Source organism: Homo sapiens, chromosome 21, assembly GCF_000001405.40.
Source record: "Homo sapiens chromosome 21, GRCh38.p14 Primary Assembly".
NCBI classification, from domain to species: domain Eukaryota; kingdom Metazoa; phylum Chordata; class Mammalia; order Primates; family Hominidae; genus Homo; species Homo sapiens.
Window position 1 is genome coordinate 33,197,342 of NC_000021.9, and position 12,625 is coordinate 33,209,966.

General features: G+C 44.4%; 1 annotated feature.

Moving 5' to 3' along the window:
* Positions 8,298–8,357: a silencer, noted in NCBI's record as "silent region_13249". NCBI's record gives its function as "represses an Ori minimal core promoter by ATAC-STARR-seq in GM12878 lymphoblastoid cells {active_cell/tissue: GM12878}" and the evidence as "EXISTENCE:reporter gene assay evidence [ECO:0000049][PMID:35858748]".

Below are 12,625 nucleotides of genomic sequence, written 5' to 3' on the forward strand. Positions count from 1 at the left end.
AGGGATATGCTGGATGAACTAAACTCTACAAAACAATGAAAATGGACACACCTCTTCTTCAGGCAATTCCACTTAAGATAGTTTCCAGCTGTTCTTATTTTAGCAAGATATCTACTTGGATATACTTTCATTAAGAAAAATGACATAGTGAACTCTGAAGTAAATATCAGATTTTTTTCACCCAGCAAATATTTATTGAGCAACCAACCACTTGAATGCCAGCACCGTGCTAAAAGCTCTCACAAAATTACTTTTATTGAATTTCCACAACAGCCCTTGTGAGAGAGGAATTCATATCTTCATTTTTCAACACAAGGAAGTTGAGAATGAGAGAGGCCCAGAAACAGCAGATCTGGCAACAAGCTTGAATATGCAGACACAAACATTCCACACAGTCCTCCTCTGAGGACACGACGCAACTGCTCCTTTTCAAGAGCTTATCACTTGGCACAGTGTGGCACCAACTGCAATCAGCAGTGCAGAGGCAAAGGCCGCTAGGGAACTCAGTTTATTTCTCTGCAGTGTGATCTGTATGCAGAAAATGGCCCTATCTTTGCCAGCCATCCTCTGCCATACCTCCCTAACCCACTGATGGATGCTGGGCAGGATAAGGGGGATAAGTTAATTTGTTCCTAAGTGTCTAAACAAGGATCCTTCTTAGAAACAGTGGATATTTAAGGTTGTCCCTTTGATCACATCCCAACAATCCCTAAATTCCATAGGCTTTCTTGGTTGGGAAAGAGGCAGAGCAACTGCTACCCATGGGAATGCATCATATTTGGAAATATAATGTTTCCTGTGCATTACAGAGGAGAGAAGTGGGAAGCATCGCCCGGTGCTGGAGGTACTCCAGCTACAGGTGGTACCCTCTATATCTTACTCTTTCCCGTACCTACATATGTGTAGTCAACTCCAGTTGATGAGATCAGGTTTTCAATTCTTTGTACCCCCCCACTGCACTTTGCAAAATACTGGCACATAAATTTAAAGTTACTAAATATTTGCTGGTGTGTTAGGAAAAACACATAGTCTGCATGCAGAAAACAGGAATTATACAAACTAGCATGATCAGACATATTTAAGATGTCAGCTGAGTTACTCTAGGGCAGAGCCCAAGGATGAAGCTTGGCTGAGGGAGGATAGGGGAAGTGCCTTGGGACCTTTAGATTATGGGTGGAAGGAACAAAAGACCCACATGGAACAAGACACTAGAGTTGGATTGACCCTTTGGGGAAGGAGAAGTTACGATATGACATCTAAACCGCAAGGAAGATGCCAGAAAAAGAAAGAATAATATATTGTGTAAGCAAGCAATTTCTTAATTTTAAACGTGTTTTTATATTCAGGTGAAATTGTTTTATTCAAGGTTGAATGACTACTAAGTTGCAGCTAATCAGAAGTTGAGAAAGAAATGCTTGGCAGTTGGAATCCAGTTTTTGCACATAATCAGAACCAGTACTGTCAGTTTCATGGCGTCTCAAAAGCTAAGACTGAGAAGGAAAAAGGGAACAGAGCCGGCCTTGTCACACCACAGACGGGAGCAGAAGTGCAGAACTGTCCCCATGGCATGTGTTCAAAAGAGTATCGTGTAGCAAACCCTAACCACAGCAGCAGTGGCTGAGCTAATCCTGGCTGGATCCCAGTAAGGCCCTTCTCGAGTCCCAGCAATGACGATGGTAGATTAGCAATCTCTTCTCAATGTGTCAATATCATCTATGTTTCTACCCTGCTAGCCTCCTCTTTTCCTTCTTTCTACCCCACCCTCAATTAACCATGCCTCCTCTTACAATTTCTAGTCTGCAAGAGACTAGGACAATAGAGAATCAAAAACTAGGGTAGAAACACAGAGGCTGCTGTGGTTAGCGCTTGCTGCGTGATAGATAGGTTTGGTTTTGTAGCAATAACACAAGGCGGAAAGTGATAGAAAATTCAACATTCTAACTGCAATTCACCAAATCTTATCTCCAGACTTGCGGTGTTTATAGTTTCAGCAACACAACCTGACTGCCAGGAGGAGAGTGAGGATAATAGCATGAATCCGACTGACAAGGAATATGTCTTGGAGAGCCGTGAACCATACCAGGAAGAGATTTTTTGCTTATAAGAGCATATTTGTTTGTGGGCTCTTTCCAGGAGCAATAGACTAAGTTGAAGATGTTTTATAAAAAGATAGTTTTATAGAACAGATATTAGGAAACTATTTTTTTATGATGACACACGGATCTTCAGCCTTGAGACTGTATCTTCCAGCCTGGTTGATCCTTCTGCACTGGTTGGTACACAGTCACTTCCCTGAATGTCCCCATCTCAATCCTCCCCACACTACCCTGTCCACTGAGTCCCACCCCAGGACCATCCCCAGCCCAGCCTCACAGTCCAGCATCCACAGGGTTAATGGCAGACACAGTAGAGAGCCGCAACAGTTGCTAAATATTGTCAATATCAACCCTGATTACAGGCGATCGATTCTACAAAGAACTCTACAAAGATTCTACATTCTTTATTCTATATAGATTCTGTAAAAGAAGAATCTAAGCACTTTGTTCTGCACCGTCCAAACATGAGTCATTGTTTTCAGGGCATCATTTGGCTTTTAACACAAAGACCCAGCAGAGGGAGCCGTTTCCTAACATGAAAGGAGCTATAGGCCCTGCTAAGACAGCAACTGTTATTAGTATTATTCCACTAGAGCTGCCATAGAGGGGTGACGTCAACAACAGAAATGTATTTTCTCACAGTTCTGGAGACTGGAAGTCTGAAATCAAGGTGTCAGCAGAATTGGTTCCTTCTGAGATCTCTCTTCTTGGCTCATAGATGGCGGATTTCTGAGTCTTCACATGGTCACCCCTCTGTGTCTGTGTCCTAATCTCCTCTTCCTATTAGGACATCAGTTATATCAGATTAAAGCCCCCTCTCCCCATGACCTCGTTTTACCTTAATTACCTTCCTAAAGGCCCTTTCTCCAAATGCAGCCACATTCTGAGAGGTACTGGGGGATAGGACTTCAACATATAGATATTTGGGCTTCAATATATATATATATATGAATCCTATCCCCCAGAGGCACTGAGGGATAAGACTTCTATATATAGTAGCCTTTCAAACATGTATACATTTCAAAATGTTTTTCTGTTGTTTTCTATAGGTTAGATTGCCCATTGTGTTGACTCCCATAATAAGTCAATGGTTTAAAGTCTTTGTCCTACCACCACATTGGCACACATCCATGGTGTGCTCAGATGGGAAGAAATTCAGACCTGAGTCCCTGCCTTCAGCAGATCCTGCAAGTTCACATATCTAGATATAGAAGGAAGTCTTGAAGATAGACACATGCAGGGTGGCTGGCAGCCATCTGCAGAGGCCACCAAATGGAGAATGGCAAATGTTAAGGACAAGATAGTGGAGCCATTCCAGACATCTTTGAAACCAGTCTTATAGACTCTCCTCCCTCTGATTCCCCCCTCTCCTGTCCCAACTTTACACACCCAAGGCCTGGCAGTTCTGCTGATTGGCTAGCCTGGATTTGCACAGAGAACAACTCACTGGACCAGATGTGCTTCATCAACCCCACGGTTAGACAATAGCATTCTGACTACAGTGGCGCATCCTCAGCCTCCCCAGGCAAACAGATTCTTGTCCCATACATCCCTTACTTACAGCCTTGGAGCTGGGATGATGGCGGTTACCCTTATCATGCTAACTGGCTTATAGACCCACTACAGACCTCACCCTGCTGTCTCAAAATGTAATCTACCCATATCTGAAGGGTTGTCTTAAGGATGCATGAATGTATCTAAATAATTATCAATGATGCTTGTTTGCAATAAAGTGATTATCTTGCTCTACAATCACTTTATTGCAAACAAACATCATTAGAAAAATATTGTTATAACCTTCTTTACAAAATCATGTATAAGAGATTTCATGCAAAATAGACCATGACCACTGCCATTATAGTAGATGGGACCCAGAAAGAACAGCCCTTTGCTTAAAGTAGGATTCTATGTGCACTCACTTTACCATAAGATTACTGTGACTTGCTGAGTGTACCAGGATGTTAGAGGTGTAATTTAATTTCTCAAAGAGATTGAAAGCCAGTGCCTGGGTTCAAAAGGCGAGGAGGCTTGCTCCTTTCTTTTCTTTTCCTTTTTTTTTTATTATTTTCTTTTCTTTTTTGAATAGGGTCTCGCTCTGTCACCCAGGCTGGAGTATAGTGGCACGATCATGGCTCACTGCAGCCTCAACCTCCCGGGCTCAAATGATCCTTCCACCTCAGCCTCCCGAGTAGCTGGGACTACAGGTGCACACCACCATGCCAGGCTAATTTTTAAATTTTTTTGTAGAGACCCCCAGGGGTCTCCCTATGTTGCCCAGGCTGGCCTCAAACTCTTGGGCTCAAGCCATCCTCCCGCCTCAGCCTCCCTAAGTGCTGGGATTACAGGCGTGAGCCACAACTCCTGGCCAATGCAAAGCTTTCCACACCCCTCTGGGTTGGGGGATAGGGGCAGGTCTAATGAAACAGCAGGTAGTTCTGAATTAACACTGAATCTCTCAGCCATTGATTCGAGACTGCAGAAGTCAGCAGGGGCCTTTCCCTTTGGAGATGGAAGTGCCATTGGCTCAGCCCCTTTAATATACGACCCAAGATGTCAACTCATGGACCCTGCATCCTGTCTTTGGATCTCCCCATTTACACTATTGTAACCTCAGGACTTCTTCAAGTCTGCCAGAGGAATCCACTCACACAAAAGAAGCACTGTGGGCTCCTTGGAAAGTATGGTAGAGAGGCAGGGTGGGGTGTGGCTCAGTAATTACGGCACATACTCCACAGCAAATGACCTCACAATAGTGCTTTGGCATTTCTGTTCCCCACACCCCTTTCCCGATGCCCTCCCTCAGGGGGCAGAAGTTTGTGCTCTCTCTGTCTCTCTCCCTCTCTCCTTTGCCACCCAGTGCCCACCCTCACTGCAGCCCTCTCCTAACCCCTCAATCCCACACCCCACGCTGCCTCTAACCCACTCAGTGCCATGGTGGGCATCTATCTGTAGGGAACTCCAGCTCCCTCCAGCCCCTATGCCACCTGTCATTTCCAATCCTTTCTAGCAGCTCCCCTGAACCCTCTCTTTAATAAGATCTACCCTTTTTAAAAATCATATTTTAATTGTAATTTTAAGTTTCAAAATGTCCATTCTCTTAACAATCTTAACCAATTCTCATTGAATGCCTTCTGCATTGTGGTCACAAAAGGGGCTCTGGAACCAGACGTTGGGGTTAGAATCCTGGATTCGCCACTTACTGTGTGACTTTGGGCAAGTTATTTAACCTCTCTGGGCCTCTATTTTCTTGTCCACAATATAGGGAAGGTGATAATAGTAGCTGACTCTTAGGGTTGGTGTGAGAGAATGAGTCACTGAATTCGTGGCTGGAAGGCACGAACAGCGGTGCCCAGCATGGAGCGAGTTCAGTAATGTTAGATGCCACCGTGTGGAGGCACCAGAGGGACCCAATAAACACACACAGAGGGACAAGCAAACCCGCAGTACCGGGTCGCAATGTCACGATGGTGGAAATGCAGGGTACTGTGGGCTTTATTGGAGGGTCACCTAACCCACACTGGGGTGTGAGATCGCATCACCAACCCCAACAGACTCGGGGCTGTGTTGGGGTGGGGGGTGCCGAAGTTCTAGCCTCGGGGTCAAGCCACTTCTGATCACAATCCAATTCACCCACATCACACACACCATGGCACACACATCATACACACACATACACACCATGCAAACATCACATACACACATAACACACAAATACCACATCCACCACCCACACAGCACACACACATACCACATACCCCACAGCCCCCCGACAATAACACCATATGCACACCACACACATACACACACACACACACACACACACACAAAACAGGTCACTACTTCCCTCCTATGTACTATGTGCCCTGCTATTTTCTATTCTGTTCCATTTCATGCCATTTCTTCTTAGTAGGACTCACTGAATTGATTTCAGGACCCACTAATAGGCCTGAGCAGGGGTTCAGAAAACACTGACTTGGAGGGAGGCAAAGGAAACCCTTAAACGTCTGTGAAATGGAGCTTTGACCTGTGGTCTGCCCTTGACCTCTAAGTGGGGTAAGCCTCACACTAGGGGTGCCCTGTCCTGAGACATAGCCATAGCAGTAGGCCACCTTACTATTGGGCTGCCCTGGCCAAGAATGGGAGAAGCAGAGCCTCGTCACCAGCTGGGACAAGGGCAGCCCGAGGAGAGACCCTTTCACAGTGTCGGCACAGCTCCGTTTGACCTAAGAAGTAACCTCACTGGTTTTTGTTTCTAATCACCCCTTCATTTCACAATGGCCTGCAGGTTTCTTTTGCCGCCTTCTAAAATCAATGTTTTCCAAAGTACAGCTGAGTCATGACACATCAAATTAGTGAGTCTCAGACAACATTTTTTAAAAAAGAAAAAGAAAGGCATGGGATAGGATAGGATAGGATAAAGTAGAGCATGTGGCACAAGGATAAGTGCTGATGTGGGTGTGGGTGTGTGTGTGTGTGTGTGTGTGTCTGTGTGTTGGGCTTCAACTTTCTTCAACTGTCAACCCTGCTATTAATAGGTGAAGCTATAAACACAGGGCAAAATCCATCATATCTGGTGATTCATACACAGAAGTACAGAGTGGAGCAACTTGAGACATTACAGGCTGAAAAATACACACTTGAAGTCCACAGCCCATGACTGAATCTGCTAGATGATGACTCGGTGGTTGCTGAGGAATTTAATCATCTGGACCATGTCCTTCCCTAGTTAATTTTCAACCCAGATGATCATATCTCCTGTTCCGGGCAGACACATTTCTGGCGCTAAGACCAGGGCCCCTATTCAGCCTTAGTGGATAATTCAACCTCCTGAGAGGCACTGCAGAAGCACCTGGGCCAAGATTGCTTTCCTCTTCTACGCCTATCCCAGGAATGTGGCCACTGCTCAAAATGTGGGAATTCCCTTCCAGAATTCCCCTTGAAGCTGCTGCACGCTTCTTAGACCACGTCTGAGCAATGCCTGCATCACTAGAATATTTGGCCTCAGTTGGGTTTGTTTCTTTAAAAAAAAAAAAAAAAAAAAAAAAAAAAAAAAAAAGGTTTTTTCCTCAACTAAGACTTAAGACAAGGGGGTCTTAATTTGATTATTTTTTTCTGTTTTATATGATTTCTATGAAAACTACAACAAAATAAAGTTAATTCTATTTAAGTGACTTTTTAATGAATTGCCTTTGTTAGAAAAAAAATTAAGTGTTTTTGTCTCACTCTGTCACCCAGGCTGGAGCACAGTGGTGTGATCATGGCTTACTGCAGCCATGACCTCCCGGGCTCAGGTGATCCTCCCACCTCAGCTTCCCAAATAGATGGGACTACAGTTGTGTGCCACAACGCCTGGCTAATTTTTGTATTTTTTTGTAGAGACAGGGTCTCACCAGGTTGCCCAGGCTGATCTTGAACTCCTTGGCTCAAGCGATCCACCCACCTCAGCCTCCCTGAGTGCTGGGATTACAGGCATGAGCCAGCGCACCCAGCCAGAATTACATTTTTTTAAATGGTACTGTCCTAGAAAATCCAGGATGTGCAGTGATCACGTATGAATGCATGGACCTGCACACACAGGAGTGAACAAAAGACCCACCCCTGCCAGGTCACCACTCATATCTCACCCCAGCCCACGCTAGCTCACACTCCTCCCCACACACCACTGACCTCATCATTGCTAGGTACCCACTTGACTTCTCAACAGGTTCAAGACAATTGGCCTTCCTCGTCTCTTCTAGAAACACCCTCTTTTCTGGGCTTTGTGTAACACCTGGTCTTTCTCCCCTCTCTGGCCACTTCTCAGCTTTTCTTTTTCTTTCTTTCTTTTTTTTTTTTTTTTTTTTGCCACTTCCTCTTCCTCTACATCAAGCTTGTCCAACCCACAGCCCAGGACAGCTTTGAATGCAGCCTAACACAAATTCGTAAGCTTTCTTAAAACATTATGAGATGTGTGTGTGTGTGTGTGTGTGTGTGTGTGTGTGTGTGTGTGTGTGTGTTTAGCTCATCAGCTATCGTTATTGTTAGTGTATTTTATGTGTGGCCCAAGACATTTCTTCTTCCAGTGTGGCCCAGGGAAGCCAAAAGATTGGACACCCCTGCTCTACAACATCTCAATATAGGCCTTTTTCATGTTTCATTCTAGATTCTCTCTCTAGACTACAAGTTCTTAAGGGGAAGTGGCATTGGGAAATGTGTGAAGGTGGCTTTGGTTGTCACAACAGCAGCGTGGATGCTGTGTTACTAGTGTTCAGTGGATGGCGGCAGAGGGACCAAACAGAAGGCAGTATCACCAAAGAACTGTCCATCCTCGCATGCCAATACCCACACTCCATAGAGAAACACTGCAATGGCATCCACTCCCACAGATTCGGTTACCATTTGCCAGCCAAGGCCTGCCCAGCCAGACCTCTCGTCTGAGCACTGGTATTCCCCTTAGACATCTAACAGGCACATCAGAGTCAACGTGTCCAAAGCCAACTCATCATCTTCTCTGTAAATCTGCTTCTTCTCCAAGATGTCCTTCCTCTATGCTCACCATCACCATGAAGCCAGGTATTTAAGCAAAGGGAGTCATCTATATAAAGCCAATCCTCCGTATTCATGGGGGATTGTTTCCAGGCCCCCAGGGATACCAAAATCCACAGATGCCCAAGCCCCTTGTATTAGGTTGGTGCAAAAATATTGCAGTTTTTGCCTTTTTCGTCTTTATGGCAAAAACCGCAATGACTTTTGCACCAACCCAATACAAAATGGCATAGTATTTGCATATAACTTATGCACACCTCCAGTATACTTTTTTTTTTTTTTTGAGATGGAGTCTTGCTCTGTTGCCAGGCTGGAGTGCAGTGGCACAATCTCGGCTCACTGCAGTCTCCACCTCCCGGGTTCAAGTGATTCTCCTGTCTCAGCCTCCCAAGTAGCTGGGATTACAGGCGTGCATCACCACACCCAGCTAATTTTTGTGTTTTTAGTAGAGACAGGGTTTCACCATGTTGGCCAGAATGGTCTCAATCTCCTGACCTCGTGATCCGCCCGCCTCGGCCTCTCAAAGTGCTGGAATTACAGGCATGAGCCACTGCGCCCAGCCTAGTATACTTTAAATCAGCCCTAGATTACTTATAATACCTAATACAATGTAGATACTATGTAAATAGTTGTTATGCTATATTTTTAATTTGTATTATTTTTATTCTTGTATTGTTTTATCGGGGCTTTCTTTCCAAATTTTTTTGATCAGCAGTTGGTTGATCCTCAGATGTGGAACCAACGGATATCGAGGGCAGACTGTACTTGCCTCTCCCTCCACACCCAACCTAATCACCAAATCCTACCAATCCAGCTCCTAAATTCTGCAACACCCATCCACTTTTCTTCCCCTCCACTGCCAGCACGCTAATCTTGGCCACTGTCATCTCCACCTGAACTCCTGCAGTAGCCCCTCCCGGGTCTCCCTGCTTTCATTCCTGCCTGTTTCAGAGCCCCCATCCTCACTGCAACACGTCATCTTCAAAACAGCTGCTCTGATCCTATCACTCTGGCTTAAACTCCCCAGTGGCTTCCCATTCCTCTCAGACTACAGCCCAAATCCTTAGCCCTGCCTCTGAGGACAGCCCTGCAGCGTCTCCCGGAGCCTTCCTTTCCAGCGTCACTTCCCCTTACTTTGGCCACGTTGACCTCCTGCCAGTTCCTCAATGGCTCTGTTCCCCTTCCACCACCCCACCTTAATGAATGCCCTTCCCTCTGCCTGAGAGGTTCCTCCCCACCTGCCCTTCCCTCCCATGGCCGATGCCTAACACTCTTCCATCGCTCTTCCAACACTCTTCCCCATCGGTTCAACACTGCTTCTTCCAGGAAGCCTCCCCAGGCCCCTGGATAAATCCCTGTGCATTCTCAAAGTGCTTAGACTGTCTCTTTTCTAGAACTGACCACAAATGTCATGAATTACCTAGTTGCAAAAGTATTTAATGTCCATCTTCACTGCTCTGTAAGCAGCCCTGTGGACAAGGAATGAGCCAGCCTCATTGACTATGGGTGCTGCGGCTCCCAGCACAGTGTCTTGCAAACGGACATTCAGTAAATATCTAGTGCCAATTCCCCTAAGATAAACCTTGGAGGAACTATAAAGAGAGAACTGACAAAATTTTGAGAAAATCCATGGGATGTGTCAGGAGGGAAACAGCTGGGAAAGGGCCAGGGGACTTTGGCCAGGAGCAGGATCAGTGGGTGGCTGTGGAAAGGGTAAAACAGAAAAGGAACTATGGGTGTCTGCCCTTGCCCCTTCCCTCACCAATGCTAGGGACAAACAGTGCCTGCCCCTACCCTGATGATGACTTAGACCTGTGTCCAGATGTCCCAGGAGTAAAATTCAGGCATCTCACAAGTCCTGTGCCTGTGAGGAGCTGGAAAAAACAGGTGGGAAGAAAAACCCTAGGCAGTTGCTTCCTTCTCTAACACCACCCCTTCCAAACCCTCAGGCCAGGGGAACTGAGAACCAAAAAGTGCCCCTTTCTAAACCACTCCTCCCTGGGGACCAAAGATGGAGCACTGACCTGAAACATTGTTTTGCTGGGTGTGGAGTAACTGAGGGTGGCGCAGTTGTCTGGGACTGATCTGTCCCCACCCCATCTCTCCATAGATATTGCCTAACAGAGAAGCCAACTGACCTCGCCACTGCCATGGAGAATGAGGTCAAGATAGCAAGATAGTTGAGAAGTAAACCATTTAAAAAAAATTGAATTATAGATTCCATCAGAAGAGGAAATGTTGGAAAAGTCCAAGAAGTTAAAATTAGCCTAATAAGCTTAATAGGAAATAAAGAGAAATGAAACAATACTAAGACAACATTAAAAAGGAACCACGCATAAGAAATAAAAAATATAGTAGTTGAAGGAAAGAACTCACAAATGTGACTAAACAGTAGAATGAATAAAACTCAAGGACAAATTAGTGAGTTGGAAGTTCAAACTGAGGAAGTTCTTCAAATGAGGGACAAAAAATAGAAAATATTAGAGAAAAGCCAAAAAAATGGAGTATTTACATACAAATGCTAACATCCATATGATAAGGCTCAGAGAGTCAGAGGAATAAAATGAAAAGAAGGAAGTATTTGAAAGAATAATGAAGCTAGATTTCCTAGAATTCAAAAAGAAAAAAAGAAATACCTCAGAATGAAAGGGCCTACAGAATGACAAAGAGAAGAAAGAGAAAAATATATCACACCCTATGGTAAAATATGAGACTATGAAAGACAAAGAAAATTCTGCAGAGTAAATCATACAAAGGACCAACATCGAGAATGACACCAGATTTCCCCACAGCATCAGTGGATCCAGGAAAACAATGGAGCAGTATCAGCAAAGTACTGAAGGATATGACCTTAGAACCTAGAAATATACATCCAGCCAAACTGCCCTTTAATTAAGTATCAGGGCATGAAACAAATATTCTCAGTCATATAAGACCTCAAAACTTGAATAAGTAGAGAAACAAATCAAAGAGTTGCTGGAGAAACAAATAAAAATAATCAAATACCTTACAAAAGTTGGTTGTAGTAAACAACAAATTTTTAAAATTCTAAGACCAGGCTGGGTGTGGTGGCTCATGCCTATAATCCCAGCACTTATGGAGGCCAAGGCAGGAGAATCGCTTGAGGCCAGGAGTTTGAGACCACCCTGGCCAACATGGCAAAACCTCATCTCTACTAAAAATACAAAAATTAGCTGGATGTGGTGGTGTGCACCTGTAGTCCCAGCTACTCAGGAGGCTGAGGCATGAGAATCACTGAAACCCAGGAGATGGAGGTTGCAGTGAGCCGAGATCAAGCCACTCCACTCCAACCTGTGTGACAGAGCGAGACTCTGATTTAAAAAAAAAAAAAAATTCTAAGACCAATGAACAAGAAAAAAGAGACTTACACTTGCCTGGACTTAAAAGTATAGATCAGGAATATTTGTATCATAATGTTAAATTATATAAAATTAGATTTACTATATATAATTGTCTAAATCAGAATACCTTTGAGAGTAAAAGGTATTATTTAAGAATTATATCAGGAAAAGACAGAGTAAACTAGGACTGTCTCAGGCAAATCAGGACGTATGGTCAGTCATAGTATATAAAATAGATCAGAAAATATGAAGGATGAGGAGGGCCCCCAAAATGATAAAAAGTTTAATTCCCCTAGTATATATAAAGCAAAAATTGATAGAAATATACAGATAAATTGATAAATCCACCTTCACAATGGGAGATTTTAGCATATCATTGTAAATAATGGGTCAAGTAAACAAAAAAACTCAGCAGGAATGTAAAAGATTTGAACTTCACCCAATGAATACAGAAAGTTATGCCTCGAAAACTTAAATGATACATTTTTAGGCCAGGTGCGGTGGCTCACGCCTGTAATCCCAGCACTTTGAGAGGCCGAGGCGGGGAATCATGAGGTCAGGAAATCGAGACCATCCTGGCTAACACGGTGAAACCCCGTCTCTACTGAAAATACAAAAAATTAGCCAGGCAAGGTGGCGGGT